This window comes from Homo sapiens, chromosome 11, assembly GCF_000001405.40.
Source record: "Homo sapiens chromosome 11, GRCh38.p14 Primary Assembly".
Lineage (NCBI taxonomy): Eukaryota > Metazoa > Chordata > Mammalia > Primates > Hominidae > Homo > Homo sapiens.
In genome coordinates this window covers 57,631,110-57,654,780 of record NC_000011.10, presented here as the reverse complement: position 1 = coordinate 57,654,780, position 23,671 = coordinate 57,631,110, and the positions used below count along the sequence as shown (strand labels likewise).

The 23,671-nt window shown below is 50.5% G+C and overlaps 1 protein-coding gene, 1 long non-coding RNA gene and 1 other non-coding gene across 5 annotated transcripts, besides 5 other annotated features; 1 reads left to right on the top strand and 2 right to left on the bottom strand.

Annotated features, from left to right (window-relative positions):
- On the bottom strand, nt 1,880-16,405 carry MIR130AHG (MIR130A host gene). The gene is made up of 2 exons (NR_186232.1): nt 16,109-16,405; nt 1,880-4,483 (listed from the first exon to the last, which is right to left on the bottom strand). It is a non-coding gene; the product is annotated as an MIR130A host gene (long non-coding RNA).
- Nucleotides 4,869-9,694, top strand: YPEL4 (yippee like 4). 3 transcript variants are annotated; one of them, NM_001363487.2, is made up of 6 exons: nt 4,869-5,096; nt 7,117-7,308; nt 7,490-7,814; nt 7,987-8,030; nt 8,376-8,484; nt 8,711-9,694. In NM_001363487.2, exons 3-6 carry the CDS (start codon nt 7,674-7,676, stop codon nt 8,798-8,800), a joined length of 384 nt encoding a protein of 127 aa, NP_001350416.1. In that variant the 5' UTR covers nt 4,869-5,096; nt 7,117-7,308; nt 7,490-7,673; the 3' UTR covers nt 8,801-9,694. The 3 variants fall into 3 exon arrangements, with proteins under 3 accessions (NP_001350416.1, NP_659445.1, XP_047282487.1); NM_145008.3 differs by lacking the exon at nt 7,117-7,308; XM_047426531.1 differs by having other exon boundaries at nt 4,869-7,814.
- Nucleotides 6,358-6,497: an enhancer, noted in NCBI's record as "active region_4725". NCBI's record gives its function as "activates an Ori minimal core promoter by ATAC-STARR-seq in GM12878 lymphoblastoid cells {active_cell/tissue: GM12878}" and the evidence as "EXISTENCE:reporter gene assay evidence [ECO:0000049][PMID:35858748]".
- Nucleotides 11,012-11,511: an enhancer, noted in NCBI's record as "H3K4me1 hESC enhancer chr11:57410743-57411242 (GRCh37/hg19 assembly coordinates)". NCBI's record gives its function as "activates a minimal SCP1, AML or CMV promoter by ChIP-STARR-seq in naive H9 embryonic stem cells {active_cell/tissue: H9 hESC(naive)}" and the evidence as "EXISTENCE:reporter gene assay evidence [ECO:0000049][PMID:30033119]".
- Nucleotides 13,495-13,583, bottom strand: MIR130A (microRNA 130a). The gene has a single exon (NR_029673.1). It is a non-coding gene; the product is annotated as a microRNA 130a (primary transcript).
- Nucleotides 14,786-15,365: an enhancer, noted in NCBI's record as "NANOG-H3K27ac-H3K4me1 hESC enhancer chr11:57406889-57407468 (GRCh37/hg19 assembly coordinates)". NCBI's record gives its function as "activates a minimal SCP1, AML or CMV promoter by ChIP-STARR-seq in primed H9 embryonic stem cells {active_cell/tissue: H9 hESC(primed)}" and the evidence as "EXISTENCE:reporter gene assay evidence [ECO:0000049][PMID:30033119]".
- Nucleotides 16,212-16,271: a silencer, noted in NCBI's record as "silent region_3353". NCBI's record gives its function as "represses an Ori minimal core promoter by ATAC-STARR-seq in GM12878 lymphoblastoid cells {active_cell/tissue: GM12878}" and the evidence as "EXISTENCE:reporter gene assay evidence [ECO:0000049][PMID:35858748]".
- Nucleotides 16,292-16,481: a silencer, noted in NCBI's record as "silent region_3352". NCBI's record gives its function as "represses an Ori minimal core promoter by ATAC-STARR-seq in GM12878 lymphoblastoid cells {active_cell/tissue: GM12878}" and the evidence as "EXISTENCE:reporter gene assay evidence [ECO:0000049][PMID:35858748]".

The following is a 23,671-nucleotide window of genomic DNA, read 5'->3' as shown; positions in this document are numbered from 1 at the left end:
CAGACTGGATTGCAGTGGTGCGATCTCAGCTCACTGCAACCTCCATCTCCCGGGTTCAAGCGGTTCTCCTGCCTCAGCCTCCCGAGTAGCTGGGATTACAGGTTTCCACTGCCACACCCAGCTAATTTTTCTATTTTTAGCAGAGACAGGGTTTCACCATGTTGGTCAGGCTGGTCTCGAACTCCTAACCTCAGGTGATCCACCTGCCTCGGTCTCCCAAAATGTCGGGATTACAGGCGTGAGCCACGGCGCCCAGCTCTTTTCTCAGTTTTAATCTTTCACCAAGCACTCCTGCCATCTCCACCCCACCTCCAAACAATACCGTCATCATATGTTCTTTTTCTCCTCTCCAGCTAGATCCTTGATCATTTTCTTTTTGCTTCCAAACTTTCTTTCTTTCTTTCTTTCTCTCTCTCTCTTTCTTTCTTTTTCTTGAGACATAGTTTCGTTCTTGTTGCCCAGGCTGGAGTGAAGTGGCGCAATCTCGGCTCACTGCAGCCTGCGCCTTCCGGGTTCAAGCAATTCTCCCGCCTCAGCCTCCCAAGTAGCTGAGATTACAGGCGCCCGCTGCCATGCCCAGCTAATTTTTGTATGTTTAGTAGAGAAGGAGTTTTGTCATGTTAGCCAGGATGGTCTTGAACCCCTGACCTCAGGGTCATCTGCCCGCCTCAGCCTCCCAAAGTGCTGGGATTACAGGTGTCCGGCCTGCTTCCAAACTTTGAATCCGAGCTGGGCCCAGTGACTCACGCCTGTAATCCCAGCACCTTGGGAGGCCAGGGTGGGTGGATCACTTGAGATCAGGAGTTCGAGACCGGCATGACCAACATGGTGAAATCCCGTCTCTACGAAAAATACAAAAATTAGCCAGGCATGGTGGCACATGCCTGTAATCCCAGCTACTCAGGAAGCTGAGGTGGGAGAATCACTTGAACCCGGGAGCCGGAGGTTGCAGTGATTCTCGATCATGGCATTGCACTCCAGCCTGGGAAACAGAGCGAGATTCCATTTCAAAGAACAAACAAACAAACAAACAAAACAAAAGAACTTTCGATCCATGCCTTGAAAACTAATCATTTGCCTTTTCCCACTTCTCATTGTTCTCCTCAACAATTGCTTTTCAAAATCTTTTTTTTTCTTTTTTTTTTAAATTTTATTATTATTATACTTTAAGTTTTAGGGTACATGTGGTGCACAACGTGCAGGTTTGTTACATATGTATACATGTGCCATATTGGTGTACTGCACCCATTAACTCGTCATTTAGCATTAGGTATATCTCCTAATGCTATCCCTCTCCCCTCCCCCCACCCCTCAACAGGCCCCAGTGCGTGATGTTCCCCTTCCTGTGTCCATGTGTTCTACTTTTATCTCCCCTCTCTTCTGCTGCCCAAACAAAAGCACTTCTCTCTTCTTTCTTTACCTAGCTTTTTCTCTCAATTCCAAATCTCTAGTACTATCCCTCAAGACACCCACATTGTCTTTTCAGAATTTACTTTAAACCCCAGAATCTTCCCTGATTAAATATTTAGAATCCCTTTTTATTTTCATGCTCAACTAGCAATGTCTCCCATTACCCACATTTCTCTGCCTTAACTTTTTTTTCCCTCTTTACGTGTGAGAAGAAAAACAAACCACCCCCAAGCACTGCTTTCTAGAAGTCCCTATCTTTGTCGTACTTCATTTGCTAAATGCTAGACTCTGTTAGAAATCAGGGTTTTTGTCTTAGGGGATATGTTCTGTGTTCACATACTTTAGTAACATGCACAGGACAGCACCCCATGAGAAATGAATTCTGAGTCAAATGAAATTTAACTGGAAGCTGCTAGAAAAATAGCAACAAAAGATGTAATGTCTTCATAAGACAAAAATTTGGCATGTGTCTCTTGAGATATCAGAATTTAATAATAAATCCTCCCTGGGTTTTGGGGGTCATACATTGAGAATGCTGTTTTGGTTTCACTTTTGTTTTTTTGGTTTTGTTTTTTTTTTTGAGACGGAGTCTCTCTTTGTTGCCCAGGCTAGAGTGCAGTGGTCCCATCTTGGCTCACTGCAACCTCCGCCTCCTGGGTTCAAGCGATTCTTCTGCCTCAGCCTCCCAAGTAGCTGTGATTACAGGCATACGCCATCACACCTGGCTAATTTTTTGTATTTTTAGTAGAGAGGGGGGTTTCACCACGTTGTCCAGGCTGGTCTCGAACTCCCAACCTCAGGTGATTCGCCTACCTCGGCCTCCCAAAGTGCTGGGATTACAAGGTGTGAGCCACCTCACCCAGCCAAGAATGCTTTTTTTTTTTTTGAAACAGAGTCTCGCTCTGTCACCAGGCTGGCGCGATCGGCTCACTGCAACCTCTGTGAGTACAGTGGCGCCATCTCAGCTTACCGCAACCTCTGACTTCCTGTTCAAGCGATTCTCCTGCCTCAGGCTCTCGAGTAGCTGGGATTACAGGCACGTGCCACCATGTCCAGCTAATTTTTGTTATTTATTAGGGATGGGGATTTCACCATGTTGGCCAGGATGGTCTCGATCTCCTGACCTTGTGATCTGCCTGCCTCGGCCTCCCAAAGTGCTGGGATTACAGGCGTGAACCACCGCACCTGGCGAGAATGTTGTTTTGAAATGACACTACTGTTTACTGCCTATCATGTGCCAGGCATTTTTCAGGCATTTAAATGTTATCTCACTTTATTCTGCATCTCCATGAGCTAATAATAATAAATATTATTAGCTTCATTTAGCAGAAGAGTAAGACTAAGGCACAAAGATTATCAGTAATTTGCCTAGTGGTTCCTGCCAAGTAATTGGCAGAGCTAAGAGTCTAATTCAGTCTCTTTGAGACCAAAGCCAGACACTTGGTTCATGTCTGAAGATGCAACTCAACTGCTCTATTAATCAGAGTTCTCTAGCGGGATAGAACTAATAGGATAGATGTATATATAAATCAGAGTTATTACGGAATATTGACTCAGATGATCACCAGATGAGGTCCCACAGTAGGCTGCCTGCAAGCTGAGGGGCAAGGAAGCCAGTCCGAATCCCAAAGTTGAAGACCTTGGAGTTCAATATTCGAGGGCAGGAAGCGTCCAGCATGGGAGAAAGACGTAGGCTCAGAGGCTAAACCAGTCTGGTCTTTCCACGTTCTTCTGTCTGCTTTTATTCTGGCCTAGCTGACAGTTGATTACATTGTGCCCATCCAGATTGAGGTGGGTCTGCCTTTCCTAGTCCATTGACTCAAATGTTAATCGCCTTTGGCAATACCCTCACAGACACACCCAGGAACAATACTTTGCATCTTTCAATCCAATCTAGTTGACAATATTAACCATCACCAGTCCACCCCTTGTCAACTTGAACCCATACACGTCTCCTGAAATCATACATGATCTTCAAATAAAGACAATAATAAGGTCATAATTACGCTTAACATAATACAGCTATCCTTTGTACAACCGGAAACGCACCAATCCCCAACCCAAATGCTATTACATAGAGTTAACAACACTTAAGTGCTGATATCAAGTCAGTAAGTCTTATGTCACATGATAAAGGCAAAAGAAAGGAAATAAAATGAAGATATTTTCTTAATACAAGTGTATATATGCACAAACATGTTCCTAACAAAAGGAGGAGGAAATACTCATGACAATTACAGTCCTCATTTTCTGCAGCTGGTCACATGGTCATAGTTCGTATTGATGACTACCTTCTTTGACTACCCATTCTGAATTCCGTTTGCCTTCAGCAAGCACCTCAGCAGATTATGTTTTTTTTACCTGGTGGAGTGACCCAAACCTTCATTCCTGAAGGGTCTGGGCCATTTGTCATCCTGCCTGGATTGGGCTGTTGCAGTTTCCCATTGACCTTAATCACAGGGCATGGTAATATTAAGAGACGCCCTACGTGATCTCCTGTATTCCACGCATACTTCCTTACCGCCATTGTGGAGTAGTAGACTGATTTCATCTTGATAGTCTGGGTCAAACACTGTAACTCCCTTCTTAGCAAGTTGGCTTAAAAGTAAGAAGAGCCCAAAGTGGCCAGGTGGCAATCTTAACTTCCAGTTTAATGGAATCATTGTTGTGTCTCTTGGTGGCAGCATTCCTCCCTCTGGAACTAAGACCTCTAGGCCAGCAGAACATAATGCCGCGGAAACAACTGCTATTTTGGAAACATCTAAATGCACGGGTCTGCACTGGACATTGCAGTCCTGGGATGTAGAGAGTAATTTCCCAGAAGGCCTGTCTCAGGAAGTTTACAGCCCAATAGAGAACTTCATATAACGTAGGTGTCTCCATTCATGAAGCACGCATAATATGGAGGTAGCTGTTAAGGGGTTCCTGCATGCAAAATGTCACATTGGGTCTATTACTCCTTCAGGAGTATTAAACCAAGGCTTTGAGGCTTGGTACAAGTTTGGGGGCACAGTTTGCCATCCATGACAATTAGTACATCTGTCTTTTCCCTGCTTCAGGGCTGGTGTCCAAGCTGAAATGGGAAAGTGTATCATCTTAAATGTGTGTGTGCTCCCTCACTCTGCATCCATCTCTTCCTTCACCAGCCTTGCCACCTCCTTTCCTCCAGCCCTGCCACCCTCACTGCATCCTTGCCCAGCCCTGTCCTTCCCCCAGGTTCTTCGTATCTCCTTGGCCCCACTGCCTTCCTCCTTAACAACCTGCCTCTCCCCTTGCCCACCATCGCCGCCTTGTCCCTCGGCCCCCACTCCTCTAGCCCCGTCCCTTGATGCCTACCCCCTCCCTTCCTTCCGACCCGCCTCCTGTGTCTCCCAGCCCTGCTCTGACGTGGGAGGTGAGGGGGGGTGGGGGGGATGGATGACTCACAGTGTTATGATGCAGTTCCACAACACACAGCCACATTCACCCACAGACCGAGGTACAGAACGAGAGACAACCTCTGCCCCCCCAGCAGCTGGCCAGCTTTGCAGCCCCAGTCTTGAGCCCCCAACTACCCTCCCCCCACCCACCCCCATCCCCTTCCCAATTGAAGGAGCGGAAAGAGAAGAGAGAAGAGTGAGCAGAGAGATTGAGAGATTGAGAGAGAGAGAGAGAGATAGACGGAGATCTCTGGAGCAGACCTCAAGGTGAGGGGGCAGCCCTTCTCCAAATGAATTTTTTTCTCTTTGCAAATTTCCTCCTCCTGCTGCGTGTTGCTTTCTCCCCTTTGCAAAAGCATTATTCATCCACCCTTTGTCCTCCCTTCCCCCTCCCCGCTGCCTCCGCTCCTCTCTCTCGGTTCCTCCATCCCTCTCCAAGCTCTGACGATTCCCGCACTTATTTCCCGGCAACTTTGGCTGCAGCATCAGGCATCACTGTTTATTGTTTTGCTGCTGGTGCAGACCCCCAAAGCCTGCCCTGGGAGCTGGCGGTGCTGCTAATTATTTGGACCATACCATACTGAGAATACCAGCCTGGGGGGTGCCAAAACCTCAGAGCAGATGAGAAAATCCATTGTGAGCAGGTGTCCCCCCCCTTTTCTTTTCCCCCCTGAGAAGCACGAGATTCGCACCTGGTTCCTCCAGCCTCCGCCTCGGCGCCTCTGCTGTCAGCTGTCAGTTGCCCCCGCCAGCCCTCCCTCTCCCCTTTCTCCTACGGTCCAGCCCCGTCTCACTTCAGGGGAACATCTCTCCCCAGCACTCGGCTTGCCTTTGTTTTTTCTCCAGTCATTTGCCCAACTTGCTTCTCCCTGTGATCCGAGATGGGTGAAAAAATGACCCCTACTCCCCTTTGTGATTCTCTGGCCTTCTGTGCAGCCTTTCCTTGGCTTGACTGGGAATTAGGGGAGAGGGAGGGAGGCGTGACGGCCGGAGGCTGGAGAAGGAGCTCAGGATTGGGGACCCAAGCTGCCCCATTCTCCATGCCCCTTGAAGAAGGTGTTTCAAGGTGGTGCATGTCAGAGGGGAACTCGCTGGCAAAGTTGAAGGCAAACCTGTGAAGCAGAGACTGAAAGGTGGTCTCTTGGCAAGGAGGGCCCGTTTCCTGCAGCCGGAGCCCAATGTCACCCTGAACTCAGCCCAAGGTGTCTTCCTGGGACCCAGCCCGGAGGAGAGGACCTGAAACTGAAGATAGTCTCTATGGAGGTTTTGCGGAGAGACTGCCTGGCGGCCTTCAGAGAGAGTGGAACAGCTGGGTGCCTGTGGCCACTGCGGAGGACAGGACGAGGAGAGCCTGTATGCCCTGGCTAACCAGAGCCAACACTGCCTCTTCTCTGCTTAGTGCTCTAGCATTGCCAGAGTGCCCAGCTGGCATCTCTGAACCAGACTTAGGCTAACCACCCACAGTGGGCTGGGAAGCCCTATGAAGGAGAAAGCAGCAGCTCACCTGCTTATCGGAGCCAACAGGGGCCACCTCCCTTCTTATCCTCTGCCTCCAGCACCTTCAGCCACTCGGAGGCTGGCGCGTGGGCAGAAGGCAATCTTCCTCTATTCCTAATCAGAACCCAGCAATTACTTCATCTTCAGTCACCCACAGAGTCACTGCTGTTTGTCCCTGCCCCTGGGAGAAGGTAGAAAGAAACATTTTCTGCCTTGTGCCCCAAAGCACAGCTGTTAAAAATAAGAGTCCCCCTTCTGCTGTTCGTTGTGGCCGTTGCTCTCACCCTACCACACAGCCCTGCCCAGCCCAGGAATCAGGCTCCTCTGACATGCTACCCATTTCCCATTGGCTCCAGCTGTCAGATTGCCTGAAGAAAATGTATTTTCTGCCTAAGTCTTTAACCAAGGGCTAAGGCAACAGTTAGTAAAGACTAGGAGAGAGAAAGACCAAGGGGCCCACAGGCTGGGAAGACAGGCAGGTGCTTATTCTGGGCCAGAATGAGTGAACCAAGGTGCGAGAATGGGCGGCCACACGTGAGGGCTTTGGTACTGTTGGAAACATCTATAAAGTTCTAGTGAAGAGTCCCAGAGCACAGGACCCTGACCTCAGGAGAGAACCGAATCAGGGTTTGTATACCTGCCTGCATGCTCTCCCTCCCCTCACCTTACACCTCCTGCCCCCCTCCCCAAAATGTATAAAGGACCAATTGTATTGCAAACAAAGACCATGTAAAAGAAAGACCTTCAGGCATCCCCAACTCTTAAAAGGCTCTGATCCCCTGAGACACAGTGCCTGTGCGATGCAGAGCCTCACGAAGAACTGAAAACCAAGGAGAGGGCACTTGCAGATGACGTTGCTCCCATGGCAGCGTCTGTGCCCGTGGGCTTCTCTCTGTGGAAAATGGTGGAGGCTGCTTCTGCCCCAGGAGGGAGAAACACCGACTCCCTGGCTTTGGCGCCAGAAGCCTGGATCGGCTGCCAGGTTTGCCAGAGCAGAATGGGGATCCAGGGGACAGGGCGACAATGCAACTGGATGCTGTGGGGGGGTCGATGGTGATGGGGAAAGTAGAGGTATGGGTGAGCTGATTCCCTTTTCCTCCATTCCCTCAGGAGGGGTCCTCCTGAGGTCGCAGCTCCCCTGATGTCCTTTCCCCTCTTCCCAGGTGACTTCTATTTCTATCTGGTTCTCGTCTGGGGGGGCCCTGGCCGGGCAGCCCCCCAACACTTCTCCTGCCCTGAAACACGGCTCTAGCCAACCTGCTCCGCTGCTTCACCTGCGACCGTCTCTGCGGGGGCTGCACGGCGCCAGCCCCTCCAGCCCACCAGGGCATTGTCCTCCAGCCCGTCATGCCCAGCTGTGACCCCGGTCCGGGCCCTGCCTGCCTCCCCACCAAGACTTTCCGCAGCTATCTGCCCCGCTGTCACCGCACTTACAGCTGTGTCCACTGCCGTGCACACCTGGCCAAACACGATGAGCTTATTTCCAAGGTACGCGAAGCGGGGACCTGCCATTCCCCTCCTCTCGCGCACCAGGCTAGCCTGAACATCACCCAGGGGTGAGGCAGCAAAGCTCTTCCTCTCTCCTACACACCCCTGCGGGGATTCAGGCAGTGGGGCTGAAGGCTGCTTGGTAGTCATTGTCTGTCCTATGTCTCCACAGTCCTTCCAAGGGAGCCATGGCCGAGCCTACCTGTTTAACTCCGTGTGAGTCTACCTCTTTCCTTGTGCGTGTGCTTGTGCTTGTGTGTGAGTGAGTAATTTTCCTCTGTGGAGAAAGGGGGGAATCCATCAGGTGATCTTGTGCCTTCAGTCTTTGCCTCCCCTTTTGCAAAGAGGGTCTCAATCTGAAGTTCTCACATGGGGAGCCGGGGGAGAATTGAAATCATAACGGTGGAAAAAGAAGGCCCAGGCTCTAGTCTTAAAGGGGTGGATTATCAAAGGCAGGGGCTGTCCAGTTCTCTCCAGATGGAAGTTCCCTTGGGCTGTCTGGGGACTGGACTGACAGTGCAACCCCACTGGGTGCTGGGTCCTTCCTGTTTCCTGAGACAGGGTCAACGTGGGTTGCGGGCCAGCTGAACAGCGCCTCTTGCTCACGGGGCTCCACTCGGTAGCTGACATTTTCTGTGAGAGCTGCAAAACCACACTGGGCTGGAAATATGTAAGTACCTGAGGAAGAGGGTCACCCTCTAAAGTGGCAGTCCCCATGGCCCTTCAAGCACCAGTGACCATGTCAGGTCCTTCCTTGCATGGTCCAAAGAGGAAAGAAAGAACTAGTCACTGGGTTGGGCTAGGTGGATGACCCTTGGGGTGGGGGCCATACAGGTGACAGTGGGGCCTGGAAGGAAACTGCTTTGTCCTACAATCACTGCTTTCTCCTTCACCAGGAGCAAGCTTTTGAGACGAGCCAGAAGTACAAGGAAGGGAAATACATCATTGAAATGTCACACATGGTGAAGGACAACGGCTGGGACTGAGGGGCTCAGGCAGGGTGTGCCCTTCCTCCGCATGCCCCTCCCTCCCCACGGCCCTGCCAAGCAGTCTATACCAGCATGAGTACTGCCCCACCCCTGGGGGAAACCTGGCTCCAACCAACCCCTCCCCTGCCTCCACCATATCCACTACCAGGCACCCTTTAGAACAGGGGTCTGGGGGTACCCCAGGGGTGTTAAGGCTCAGGAGTGGGCAGCAGTCAGGGAGAGACAGAACTGGGGGAAAGGGATGGTTGTGGGTCTTTCTGTTCCCAAGATCCTGAACATGGAAGCGATGGCAGGGCATAGACTCAGGCAGAGAGGATTGTGGGAGGAATCCGTTTTTGCTCCACCTCTTTTTGAGTGAACAGAGGACAAACCTTGGGTCACAGGGCAAGTAGATCATGGACCACAGAACAGCAGATGAGAAAAGACTTGGGTTGGAGTGAAATTCTGGTCTCAGACACCAGGAGACCAGAGTCTCTGAGGATGAAGTTTCCTACCCCTATTTGTAGGGAAAAGGACTTGAGTGCAGGGAAAACTCAAATCCCAGGCCCTGGGAAATAGTAAAATAATCAAAGGGTTTTCCATTTCACTCCACTTGTTAGTTTATCTTGGCACTGAAGAGGCACTTTCGAGTATCTAACTTTTGCCATTGGGTGGGGTGGGGACAGCTGCTCGCGGAACAGCCCCTAGTCGGCTGCTTCCAGAGTAAGCAGTCTTTATGGGCTTTCTCTGAGGCCCAGTCACTGCTCCTGGGACCCAGTCCCCTGGAGGGGAGGTGGAAAATCAGTGCTACGGGGCCAGTCTTTCCCGTGGCTGCCACCAGCGAATGAAACTTTTGTATGATACATAAAGTGCTTGAGTCTATTTTTAATAAAAAGGGAAAAAGCAACTTGAGGCAACCTGTCCTCTGACTTTCTTTCCCTGTGCATGTACCCATAAACTGTCCCCGTCACACACACACACCCCCACCCACCCGGGCCTGTCCCTTTATACCACTAGGGGGCAGCAGTTGCCCTGTCTATGGCAAGACTACTGCTTGAGCTTTTACCGGGGAATAAGCGTTCAGGTGAAGTTTTGCCTTAGTAAGAGGGGTGGGTTTTGTTAGCTACTCGGCGAGAGCATCCAAAACCGCTTGTGTCTGCTGGCACCCCTGACAGTAAGTCCATTTTGCCTAGATCCAGGATCGGGCTCTGAAAGAGGCTCATCTCAGAATAAGGATTTTCTTGAGTCCCGTGGCTTTTCAGCCTGGTTCTGTAATGCTCTGGTCAGTTCATGGGCACACTTAAGGCTAAAAGGAAAATCAGTCAGCCAAAGTGCTGCTCTGGCAGTTGATGGGAAGTGAAACAAAATAGCTCAAAAATTAGGCCGGGCGCGATGGCTCACGCCTGCAGTTCCAGCACTTTGAGAGGCCGAGGCTGGTGGATCACCTGATGTCAGGAGTTTGAGACCAGCCTGACCAACATGGCAAAACCCCGTCTCTACTAAAAATTCAAAAATTAGCCAGGCATGATGGCACGTGCCTGTAATCCCAGCTACTTGGGAGGCTGAGGCAGGAGAATCACTTGAACCCAGGAGGCAGAGGTTGCAGTGAGCCAAGATCGTGCTGCTGCACTCCAGCCTGGCGACAGGGCAAGACTCCGTCTCAAAAAAAAAAAAAAAAAAAAAAAAAAAAAGCTCAAAATCGCAACATCAATGCCACCATATGACCCAAGGGACATTTTATTGGCAGTGGTATGAAATCCCTACTGTTGTTGGGTGCCCAACAGTTACAGGGGAGACCATATACATCATAAAGATCATTTTTTGGTAAGCTATAATATTCTTTCCAGATTCATTCATTAATATTCCAAATATTTATAAAGCATCTATTACTTGCCAGGCATTGTGTTAAGCACTAGATGTTAAGCACATGGTGAAGATAAGGCAGCTGTGACCTGACTTCCTGGAGCTTTCTGTCCAGTAGGAGATGCAATAACCAGGAAATCCCAGTAGAAGATGATAATAAGGGATCTAAGCAGGGACGTGGAGGAAGCTTGGGAGCTCATAGGAAAGGAACTCAGCTTAGATGTAAGGAGTCAAGGAAGGCTTCACAAAAGCGATGACTACGATGGCATTTGAAAGATAAGAAGTTAGGTAGGCAAAGGCAAAAGTGATGGAAGTATTTCAGACAGAGTATGTGTCAAGTAACTTAAGTTTAGTTAATTGAAGGAAATAAAAGTTGCTTGTGGGCTGAAAGCAGTGGCTCACGCCTTAATTCCAGCACTTTAGGAAGCCAAGGCTGGAGGCTTGCTTGAGGCCAAACTTTGAGGTTAGCCTGGGCAATATAGCAAGATCTTGTCTCAAAAAAAAAAAAGCCATACCTGCACCTGTAGTCTCGACTACTCAGGAGGCTGAGCAGGAGGATCACTTGAGCCCAGGAGGCTGAGGTTGCAGTGAGCCATGATCACGCCACTGCACTCCAGCCTGGGCTGGAGCAAAACTTTGTCTCCTTAAAAAGTGGGTGAGAGGACATGAAAGGAAAGAGAAGCAGGAGCCATAAACTATTTAGGGAATCTAGATTTAATCCCAATGGTATTAGGGAAATATGGGAAAATTATTGTTTTTTAGAGTGGAGTGGCAGTATCAAATGGCTATTTGTGCCCAGACAAGAGGCTCAAATAGAAGTTTTAATAGACTGGAGAAAGTAAGGAACATATGGTAGGGTGCGGTGGCTCACACCCGTAATCCCAGCACTTTGGGAGGCTGAGGTGGGCGATCACTTGAGGCCAAGAGTTTCAGACCAGCTTGGACAACAAAAATTAGCCAGGCATGGTGGTGCACGCCTGTAATCCCAGCTACTCAGGAGGTTGAGGCAGGAGAATCACTTGAACCTGGTAGGCAGAGGTTGCAGTGGGCCGAGATCGCGCCACTGCACTCCAGCCTGGGCGACAGTGAGATTCTGTCTTAAAAAAAAAAAAAAAAGGGAAATAAAGCTAACTGTACTATCTCAAATACTGTTGTTGTGATCAGAATGGAGAGGCTGTCTGGGCAGGAGAAAGGAGGACTAGAACTGGAAGGCACAGAAGTAAAAGGGCAAGGGAAAAAGGCAAGCCATGGAGAGATGTCCAACATCCCTCAACTAAGGCCTCAGGGGAGTCTGACCCATCTTTCAGTTTCTACATGCCTCATGATGCCAAGATCCCTCTCAGGGTCCAGCAGAGGACCTCAAAACCCTATTCCTCTTGGACCCATTTCTTGCACCAAAGTTTAGGGAAGATTTCTCAAGTCCCAAACTCTGCTGTTGAAAACCAGGCACAAACTAGCTGCCTTCTTCACTTGATCTTAGCCAAAAGACCAGGAATACTAGCTGCCTTCTTAAAGAAGCTCCCCAAATATTCCTCTCATTCAATTTATTTTAACAAGTTTTAATTAAGCCTACTAGGCACTGTGGGAGACAGAGAAGTAAATGGCTGAGTCATTGCTCTCAAATTTTTCTTTCTTTTTTTTTTTTTTTGAGATGGAGTCTCGCTCTGTTGCCCAGGCTGGAGTGCAGTGGCGCAATCTCGGCTCACTTCAACTTCTGCCTCCAAGATTCATTCAAGAGTCTCCTGCCTCAGCCACCCAAGTAGCTGAGACTACAGGCGTGCATTACCACGCCTGGCTAATTTTTGTATTTTTAGTAGAGACGAGGTTTCACCATGTTGGCCAGGCTGGTCTTGAACCCCTGACCTCAGGTGATCCGCCCGCCTCGGCCTCCCAAAGTGTTGGGATTACAGGCGTGAGCCACCGCACCCGGCCTCAATTTCCTTGTAATTGGTCCTGGGAGAATCATTCTGTGGGTTGATTCAAGGGATCCTATTAATCTTTAAGATTAAGTCATGGGCAACGCTGTCCAAATCTTGGATGCCCAGACAGGTGTGCCCTCAAGCAGCATTACCATCAAACACCCCGTGACCAAGAGGGAGTGGTGCTGAGAAAGGTAAGTGGATTCAGGGAAGGAGTGAGGTCTTTCCATGCCTCATGAGCCAGGGAAGGAGCTGTAGGTATGGGATGCCAGCAGCACACAGGTCCTTTTCTTTGGGGAGCAATCCTCTCGAGTTAACCCCCTTTCCTTTCTGGTGCATTCCTTTTTTTCTCAAGGAGGCCTACTCTGTACCTAATAGTGATTCTCCTAATCTTTTTCCACTCACTCTCCATTCCGGGCTGAGTCTGGGAATGCTTATCCTTCTTAGCCTAAGGAGTTGCCACCACTTCTGGTCCTTAAAGGTTTGAGGCTTTGGAAGATATCCTCATACAACCAGCAGATGGCATCAAAACCTTCCACCCCTCAGCTCAGGAAATCTCCCAGTTTGAAGAACCTATTCAGATCTCTCCAGATGGGTCTACAAAAAGATGAGTGAGCTGTCAAGACTTAACACAGGGTTGTATCTAGGCTTTGCAACCTAAGAGCTACACAATCTTAGCCAAACTGTTTAAACCTTTCTGACCCTCAGTTTTTCATCCATAAAATGGGGCTGTTACCTCCCAGAAGTTATTAGGTTTCACAGTAACGGAGGCAGTGTCTATCACAAGCACTGCATACAGAAGTAGTTCCATAAATGAGAGCTATTAGTATAACTAACAAGTGAGGCTACCCAGATTCCCACCAGGGTAGCTGACTGGTGCCCAGATGGGAGAGGAATTGCAATGCTGAGGAGGCAGCCAGCGCTGGGTAGCACTACACGGCCAATGCCCTTTTAACATTGCACTGCTAGTGACAGGTGCAGACAGTAGCACAATGTGAAAAGAGCTCTGGCCAGCAGCAGAGGCATGCCGGCCCTGCCTCCTCACTCCTTCTCCCAGTCCCTGGCCCACTCAGCTCACGGGCTCCCTCTGCCCCTTCTTTGCTTCAATACAGCTTTTTTCCCTTTTATTCCATTCTTAGTGTTCATTCTATTTTTTCACCACTCTTCCTTTTGCCGCCTTCTTCACCAACCCCCTGACCCCCAGCACAGAGACCACCTTTTTCTTGGAGGTTTTGGCATGGGAGGACAGGACCCACTAAAGCAGCTGCAGGGATACTTCGGGCTTGATGCTCAGTCCTCAAAGAAAACGGCTATTAGCAATCCCCAAAGTCTGGAGGTCACTCGTATGAGGCTGTGTTCATCTGGATTTGCATTTCCGCTAGCTTACCTTCTAGAGAGGAGCTTGCTGCCCAAGACTACAGAACCCTCTACTCTTCTCTAAGTTTCCATCTCCTTTTAAATTTAGATAAAGCAGAGCTCTAGGCCTCAAGGCAACACTCTCAGATGACCTTCCAGGACCAGAGAGGTGGGAGCCTGTAGTCACAGCTCCCCACGCAGTAGAGAGAAGCTTCCAGGCGGGGAGGTGAAAGCTGCTGGTGAAGCCCCACCCCTGCATCTCCTTTTGGAGGTCCTGAAAGCACTTTGCAGATTCAGCATTAAAATGGTGAGGGTGATTCGCTCACAGTTACTGAGAGTTAGGGATAGGCTTTCACTGGCAGTGGGATTCACATCTGAGTTATTTCCTGTCTTATCCAGGGACCCTTGGTTGGGGAGTCTTCAAGCTCATCCTAGCACTTCCCCATCCTATCCAACCCTAAGGGGGCTTAAATACAGGACAAACAGTCCCCGGAAGATTAACACCCAAAGCCAGAAAGCTGCCCTGGAAGGACACCTGGATATCTGGAGGCTCAGACCCAGGCAGGCTCTATTGTGGCACATTCCAGCTAGGGCCACAGCCCCGGAGCCCAGCTCCAGTTCTGACCCAGTGAACTTTGGGCAGCCCAGAGAAACAGAGGCTGGAGGGTGATTCCTCCAGTGCCCCGATCAACGAAGGGGAGATGCCTTCTTCCCTAATCCACAGCCACCGTAAGGAATAGAGGACAGAATTCCAGTTGGGAGCTCTTCCTCTGGGCTTCCCTCTAGCCTCGTCCCACCCCCTCAGGAAGCAGGAGACGTTCCCTCCCGCTCTCCCCGGCAGAGTTTGTTCCCGTAATCTGCAAACATGGGGCCCTGCCCTACAGTTTTAATGGGCGGAAACCAAGACCCCTCGAGGGTCAGTGACCTCTCTGCTCTGGGGTTGGGCAAACCAGGCCCAGCTGGGAACTGGATCACACCAACAGGGGGCAGAGGGGCAAAGATAAGGCTGCACAGCAAGCTTCAGGGAGGCCAGGGGAAGATTCTTCCCCAAGAAGTTTCCAGGTCTCTCCTTAGGGAGTGCAGGGAGAAAGGGCCAAGAGCCCCTCAGCTCTCACACACCCAACTCATTCCTGAGGAGCAGGCCCAGCGACTCACCAGCCAGCAGGACCCCTCCCCCACCTTGGGCCCAGGAGCCAGCCCCCAGCTCCTTCCAGAAGCGAGTGTAGAGACCGAGGAGGAAATGGGGGAGGGGAGGCCCCGGCTCAAGTTCTCTCCTCTCCCCCTCCTCATTGGCCACCATCTTCCGGCCCCTGCCCCCAGAGCAGCAGGGGATGGGGCCCAGCCTGTGAAAGGGAGAGAAAGGGCAGGTGGGGGGTTAGCTGGAGCAGCAGGGGCAGGGGGCTGGCCCCAACTGTCTCCTCCCACCCCCTCCTCGCAGCCATGGCGACGGGAGGAGGAGACCAGGAGGGTCCTGAAAGCCATGTTCTGTGAATGGGATGAGAGAGGCAGCTGGGAAGTGGGGGGTGAGGGGCGCTCTCCTTCAACACCCAACTGTGCTCCCCCCGAACACACACACCTCGAGGCTGGACCACACAGGCGCACGTACACACCACACACACACACACACACACACACAAACTCTCAGCCATACTTGCTGCACAACTCAGCCCTCATTACACACCCAAACAACAAGAACTGGAGTGTGAGCGCACGCCCCCCACACACACACATCCCCGCACCCCTCAACACCCCACAACTATCAGCTCGAAAACCAGCCTCACACCCCCACACCGCCCCTGGCTCACCCTACAACTTCTGGAGGTGCAGAACTCCCTGCCCTGCTCCAGCCCTTCGGCCCCCGGTCCCCCTCGGAACACTCCACGCCCTCGCACACAACCCAGGTGGAGACAGATGGCCCAGCTCGGCCGTGCCCAGCGGAGCCCCCCATCCCTACCCCACCACGCCCCCCACTGGAAAATGACAGTGAGGCCACCTCAGAAAGACACGCCTGGTGCTTCCCAGTTACAGTGTTTCCAAAGGAAAAAATAGAAAAGATGCCCACGAGTGGAGAATGAGGAGGGAAAAAGGAAGACGAGAGAAAGAGCCCAGACCGTCCCCCTCCCTTCCCCAAGAGAGAATAAAACCGAAAATCGGTGTCGTTACCCTTCGGGAAGCTCTCGATACCTACACATTGCTCTTCGTTAGGATCCTCTGCCTGCCACCTCCTTCTTCCCGGGCTCTTTCTCTGCCCTTCCCTCCCTCTTGGCTCCCCTCCCTGGCCTCGCTCCCCCTCGCTCACGCCCTCTCGCACCCCGCCAGCCCCTCTCCCGGGCCGGGCTTGGATCCCCAGCGGCCGCCCCGCCACCCGCCGGCCGGGACCGAGGTTGCGAGGCCGGTGGGCCGCGGAGACCCTCTCCTCTGCCGATCTCGCTCTTCCCCCCTCGCCCCCTTTCTCCTTCCACACTCCCTGCCGTCCATCTTGAATACTTGGGATTCTTGAATGGAGTGAGCAGGATCCGCTCCCCCAGGCTCCCATTGGCTGTGGGTTAACCCTTTTGAAACGAGATCCTCCCTCCCATTGGCTGCCAGGCTCCCCTCTTCTCCCCCAACCCCCATCCCCTCCGCCTCCCAACAGTCCGCGAGGTCAGGGCGCTCCCGGAGCCCCCTCCCCTGGCTTCTCACCTCAACAACCCCCGCACCAGGACGCCCCTCTCCCCGCTCTTTCCGTCACGCCCCGCACAGGGCTGCAGGTGAAGGCAGATCCAGTTCCCGCCAAATGCGGCCCCAAGGTGGGGCTGGCAGAAACCCTGTTCCCAGATGCCCCTCGTGCTGGATTTGGAGACCTTGGAAGATACAAGGGGTGCAATTTCCTGCCCGTCTCCAACCCCTCCTTGACCAGAAGTACTTCTGCAACAGGGGATCCACTCAGCCTTTCAGCCTCACCCAAGGCGGTGGGAGAGCGTTCCTGAACGCCCGCGCTTCTTGGGCTGGCCAGGAAGAGGGCAGCTCTAGAAAGAAGATCTGGGGCTCTTCACCGAAGCTAATTCCCCGAGTGCCGCAGGGCAGGCCTGACCCGATCAGGAATGTGCAGCATCTGGAGCTCCGCTCCGTCAAAAACATCCCCTCAGACCAGCCCTGCCCCGCCTGGGCCAACGTGCTGTGCGCCCACAAGGGGCTCTGAGGTGGGGGAGCCCAGAGAGGAAGGCGGCAGCAAGGACGAGGGCGATATGTCAGGCCTTGGAGTAAGGTCCGGGGTTTTAGGCCTAGATCTGCCATTAAGATGCAGGGCGAGGCTGGGCGCGGTGGCTAACGCCTATAATCCAAGCACTTTGAGAGGCTGAGGTGGGAGGATTGCTTGAGCCCAGGAGTTCCAGACCACCCTGGGCAACACACTGAGACTCTATCTCTACGAAAAATAAAAAAATTAGCTGGGCGTCGTGGTGTGGCCTATGGTCCCAGCTACTAGGGAGGCTGAGATGGGAGGATCGCTTAAGCCTAGGAGTTCCAGGTTGCAGTGAGCTATGATCGGGCTCGGTGGCTCATGCCTGTAATCCTAGCATTCTGGGAGGCCGAGGCGGGTGGATCACCTGAGTTCAGGAGTTAAAGACCAGCCTGGCCAACATGGTGAAAACCCGTCTCTACTAAAAATACCAAAATTATCTGGGCGTGGTGGTGCTTGCCTGTAATCCCAGTTACTTGGGAGACTGAGGCAGGAGAATCGCTTGAACCCAGGAGGCAGAAGTTACAGTGAACCGAGATCAAATCATTGTACTCCAGTCTGGGTGAAAAGAGCGAAACTCTATCTCAAAAAAAAAGCTTGGCGAGGTCATGTTTCCTTTTTAGCTTCAGTTTCCTCGTTTGCAAAACGTTGGTCTAGGACAGCGCAGTCCTGATAGAAGTTTCTGTGAGAAGATGGAAATGTTCTATATCTGCATCATTGTAGAAAATTACATATATCGTGGTCCCTTTTCAAAATAAAATGTCTCAGATAGGCTTGGGTCCACAAACCACAGGAGAACAAGATCCACTAAGCCCCTACCTTAATAGCTGGCATCTGCTGGTTGGGGCCCCTTAGCTGCCCTCACCCGAACCAAACAGTTTAGTTGAGCTTGAAAGATAGCTAACTTTATCAGCTTGCCTTAACTACCTGGGTCATAAGTCAAACAGTTGAAGGACCCCCCAAGATGGCTGCAATGCATTATGGGCTGCAACAAAATGCAATGGGGCAACCCTAAAGAAAACACCTAAAGCCCCAACCCAACAACCAACAGGCGACGCTGGGGAAGATTGTGACCCCATAGTACTCAGCCTATGAGGAACGGGGGGAGGGATTTGTGCACTAGGGGATAAATTGCTTGTTGTAACTGTCCTGGGTGTGCCTGCCTACCACACACCTGATCTTGCAAGACTGTCATTAAAAGTCTCACTTTCGCTGTTCCTCGTGCCTCTAGGTCCATTCTTTGGGTTTAGATGGGTGAGCATGTTTCTCTCAGTCATCAAACAATATGGTAGCCACTAGCTACGTGTGACTGTTGAGCCCTTAAATGTGCTACCGTGACTGAGGAAGTGGCTTTTTAATTTTATTTCATTTTAATTACTTTCATACAGCCACATGAGGCTAGTGGCTACTATATTAAACGGTCTAGAAAATCTTTGTGGTGTTGCTAATAAGAATAAAATTCTATGACCCTTTTTTTTTTTTTTTTTTGGAGACAAGGTCTTGATGTGTTGCCCAAGTTCAGTGGCGCCATCACAGCTCACTGCAGTCTAGACCTCTTGGGCTCAAGTGATTTTCCTGCCTCAGTCTCCCAAGTAGCTGAGACTTCAGGTACGTGCCATCACATCCAACTAATTTTTTTTTTTTTTTTTTTTAAGAAAGACTTGCTATGTTGCCCAGGCTGGTGTTGAACTCCTGGGCTCAAGCAATCCTCCCACCTTGGCCTCCCAAAGTGCTGGGATTACAGGCATGAGCCACCCCACCTACTGGCCCATTTTATGATCCTTTTCTTTTTTTGAGACAGAGTCTGGTTTTGTTGCCCAGGCTGGAGTGCAGTGGCGCGATCTGCAACCTCTGCCTCCTGGGTTCAAGTGATTCTCCTGCCTCAGCCTCCTAAGTAGCTGGGATTACAGGTGTGCACCACCAGGCCTGGCTAATTTTGTATTTTTAGTAGAGATGGGGTTTCACCATGTTGGTCAGGCTGGTCTCAAACTACTGACCTCGTGATCTGACCACCTTGGCCTCCCAAAATGCTGGGATTACAGGTGTGAGCCACCACGCCCGGCCATGAGACACCGCGCCCAGTTCATTCTATGATTCTTGCTGGGGGAAAAAAAAAACCCTTTCTTTTCATCCTCAGGCATGAATTCCTACAGGTTCAAATCACAAATCATAAAGGGCATCAATTCCCCGGAAATGAGGTTCAAATTCCTGTCACCTTTGTCAGGAATCCTTTCCTTATGAATGTCAACCACTTCTCTGAGAAGGGAGCTGAGATACACCCACCCCACTACACAATGAAAGATTGTGGCTAAAAGGGAATTTGCAGGTTTGTCCAACCTTGTTTTTTCAAAAATAGAAACCAAGACGTTGACGGGGTGGGGATAGGGGCTGTCACTTGCCCAAGGACAGTCAGAACAGCAGGTTGATGTGTTCGCTCATGAGTTAACGTGCACCTGTAAACTTAGTCCATCTCTTTGGGGCTCCTGCGGGAGCACACACATACATGTACATCATTAACTTCATTCAAGAGATGTGCTTCTCTGACCTTGGCCAAATGAGAGCCGAGATTTAAGGGCCAGATGGGTCCTCCAATTGACATGTGGAAATCCAGAGCTCCTGGGTATGCCAGGATTACAAGAAGATGGACAGCCCAGAGCCCACTCCCTGAATATGGTTGAAGGACCCCCTTGTGGCATTGCCACCATGAGAAGAGGAAGCTGAGGGGCGGGAGAAGAAGGACTCTGAGTTTATCCTTGGACTGACCAAGAGACAGAATTAGCTGGGGGTTTTGGAGGATAAGGAGGGCAGGGTGCCCAGGATTTTGGTAGCTACAGGCTATGACTTGTGCATATAGGGCCCTAACCTAACAGAGAGACAACTGCTGCAGGGAGTTGATAAAGGAGATGGCTGCACTGGCCTGAGCTTATACAGTGTTTGTCCAGTCTTGCTTCTGGAGAGCCTTTGCCTGGGTAATGTGCATGAGGGGAAACACAGAGCTTCCTGGGAAATGGCTGCTATCTTGAATATTTCCTTACTACTAGGAGACATTGCTAAATGACTGCTCTGGTGAGAGATATAAGGAGTTCAGAGAAAAGAAGGATTGCTCCCAATGGGGAATGGAATCCAAGAAGGCTTCCTGGAGGAAGCAGCATCTGAGACTTGAAGAATAGAAAGTATTTAGACACAAGAAGATGGGAGAAAGGAAGACAAGGAAATGCCAAGGAGAGAGAACAACACAAAGGCTGAGAGGTGGGGAAATGGTGGGATTGGCTGGAGATTCAGTGGGAACCTGGGGTGTCTGAAGGGGAATAGAAAGGAAGAAAAGGCAGCTGGGACAGATCATGGAGGGCTTGGACACATCTCTCCAGCCTCTACTCTGCTCCAAAGACATCATTTTCCTTGAACATACTTTTATCTTTTCCTCACCAAGACAAACCCCGCAACTATTCATTCAGCTGCCCCAGGGCCTCCATGCTCAGCTCTCTGCCTCTTCTGCCTTAGTCTACGGGCCCGTCTGTTGTCCACAAACATCCTTCCCTGGGCAAAATGGGCTCCAATTGCTCAGTAGAGAATGGACTCTCATTGGTGTCTCTCAGTTCAGTCTCCTATCTCTGGATTCCCAGTGTGTAGGTATGAGCTGCATGAAGGACCCTCCTTTTTCACTCACCACCTTCCAAACCCCCACGTGGCCCCACCCCTTCTCAGGAGAGTCAGAAATGGAGGCCAGGAACAGCTAGACGTGGTCCAACCTGTTACAGGAGTGTAAAAAATGCACCCAGGAGCTACTTGGCTCCTAGCCACCCTACCCCACCTCCACATTCTTCACTCCTCTTATGGGAGTTTCAGAATGCACCTGGGCTTTGCAGGAACCTCCCTTTCCCACCACCCCCACAGCAATCCAAGACTATTCTGGAGGTGCTTCCTTTGCCTCCCTCCCTAACCTCCATTGTCATATACAGATATGGGTCCCTCCATGCCTATTTGGGTAAATCGTGTAGAAAAAAAGGATTGCTCCCAATGGAGAATGGAATCCACGAAGGCTTCCTGGAGGAAGCAGCATCTGAGTCTTGAAGAATAGAAAGTATCACGTAGAATACTATAAATGTGAGACAGGGAGACCATCTGCCCTAAACCTTTGCCTCTTGGAAGGACTGAATCTGAAACGCTGGAGAGAGTTGCCTCCTTGCTTAAACATCAGTGGAGGTAGGTAACTCAACTGCTAATAACACATGGCTTTTTTTTTTTTTTTTTTTTTTTTTTTTTTGAGACAGAGTCCTGCTCTGTCACCCAGGCTGAAGTGCAGTGGTGCCATCATGGCTCACTGCAGCCTTGACCTCCAGAGATCAAGCAACACTCCTGCTGCAGCCAACTAGATGGGACTACAGGCACATGCTACCACACCTAGCTAATTTTTGTATTTTTTGTAGAGACAGGGTCTCCTTATGTTGCCCAGGCTGGTCTCAAACCCCTTGAGATAGGGGATAGGTGATGGCTATCCCTATAGGGGATAGGGGATGGCTCAAGCCATCCCCTTGCCTCAGGCTCCCAAAGTGCTGGGATTATAGGTGTGAGCCACCATGTCTGGCTAACACAGCTCCTAGTTCACTTGAGATGATGATAGAGGCTTTTCCATATGAGCCTCTTTCATTTCCCCTCCTTCCACAGTAAGGTGCCTCTTCACCTTTACCATCCTGCTTCTCTCAAATGCTGCTGTGTCTGAGCACTGCCTGTATGCAAGGCTCTGGAACCATCGCTGGGAAACACTGCCAGCCCGGAAAGTGCTCACAGTTGAGGAGAATGCAAGGCAGACACATAAAGAGGAAGTCACGGCCGACTGCAGTGGCTCACGCCTGTAATCCCAGCACTTTGGGAAGCCGAGGATCACCTGAGGTTAGGAGTTCAAGACCAGTCTGACCAACATGGTGAAACCCCATCTCTACTAAAAATACAAAAATTAGCTGTGCCTGGTGGCACGTGCCTATAATCCCAGCTACTCTGGAGAATCGCTTGAACCCAGGAGGTGGAGGTTGCGGTGAGTTAAGATCGCACCATTGCTCTCCAACCTGGGCAACAAGAACGAAACTCCCTCTCAAAAAAAAAAAAAAAAAAAAAAAGAGAAAGTCACACAGGTGCCCAGGTAGACGTAAGTGCCTTCTTTCTGAGGTAAACCTCTTTCCTTGAGGTCTAGCTCTCATCCTTTACTCCATCAATTGCCCCATTTATTGCATCTCTAATCCCTTTCCATAAACCTAGGGCAAGGGTCAGCCAACTACAGCCCACAGGGCTAAATTCTGCCTCTGCCTGTTTTTTGGTAAATGAAGTTTATTGGAACACAGCCATGCTCACTTGTTTACACATCGTCTATGGCTGCTTTCTACAACCACGACAATGGCAGAGTTGAGTGGTTGCGACAGAGACCATACGACCAACAAAAGCCTGGCATATTTACTGCCCAGCTCTTCACAATAGAAGTTTGCCAACTCCTAAATTTATGGGCAGTTTTAGACCTTGCCATCTCAGAAAGATGTAATAGAACTCAAGAAACGCAACTGAAATTACTCCGAGATGGGAGTGGAAGGGCGAAGCCCAGACTTTTCATCTCAGTCTATACATATGCTCAAGTCTTCCCTCAACCTGTCGTGAAGCTTCTCGAAATGCTAGTCAGCTTTCTATATTATCTCTCCTTCATGGCTCACTCGTTCGTTTTTTTTTGTTTGTTTGTTTGTTTGTTTGTTTGTTTTGAGATAGAGTCTTACTCCAGGCTGGAGTGCAGTGGTGTGATCTCAGCTCACTGCAACCTCTGCCTCCTGGATCCAAGTGATTCTCCTGCCTCAGCCTCCTGAGTAGCTGGGATTATAGGTGCCCACCATCATACCCAGCTAATTTTTGTATTTTTAGTAGAGTTGGGGTTTCACCATGTTGGCCAGGCTGCTCTAAACTCCTGACCTAAAGTGATCCTCCCACCTCTGCCTCCCAAAGTGCTGGGATTACAGGTGTGAGCCACCACATCCAGCCCATGTCTCTCTCATTCTTAAATCTGCGCAATCTGACTTCTGCCCCCCAATTTCCACTGAAATGTTTCCTACTAGGATGCCAATGACTTCCTTATTACTGATCCACAATTCTCCTCTCAATTCTCATCACATGCATCTTCTCTTTAGCACTTGCCAGTACTGACTATATCAGTCTTGAAATGCCCATGACTTCTGGCAGACTGGCCTCTCCTGGATTCCCTCCTACCTCTCCAACTGTTCCTTCTCAGCTCCCTTCCTGTGAGTCCTCTTTACTCCCCTGTTGCCTAAATATACAGATTCTGTGTGGATTAGTCCTTGGTCTTCTTTTCCATCTATACTCTCTCGGTGAACAAAATCATCCACATGCCTGATTTCAACAGTCACTCATATAGACCCAGATTTCTAACAGAAGGTTGCAATTCCTCAGATGTATGTCTTACCAGCCAACTAAGCTGAATTTGGGCAACATCAAACATATGTCTTCCTACACCTCTGCCTTCACCTAATCACCTTTGTC

Coding starts and splice junctions, on each gene's coding strand:
- YPEL4 (NM_145008.3), top strand. CDS start 7,674: ATGCCCAGCTGTGACCCCGGTCCGGGCCCTGCCTGCCTCCCCACCAAG. Junction 7,815..7,986: donor ACGATGAGCTTATTTCCAAG/GTACGCGAAGCG, acceptor ATGTCTCCACAG/TCCTTCCAAGGGAGCCATGG. Junction 8,485..8,710: donor CCACACTGGGCTGGAAATAT/GTAAGTACCTGA, acceptor CTCCTTCACCAG/GAGCAAGCTTTTGAGACGAG.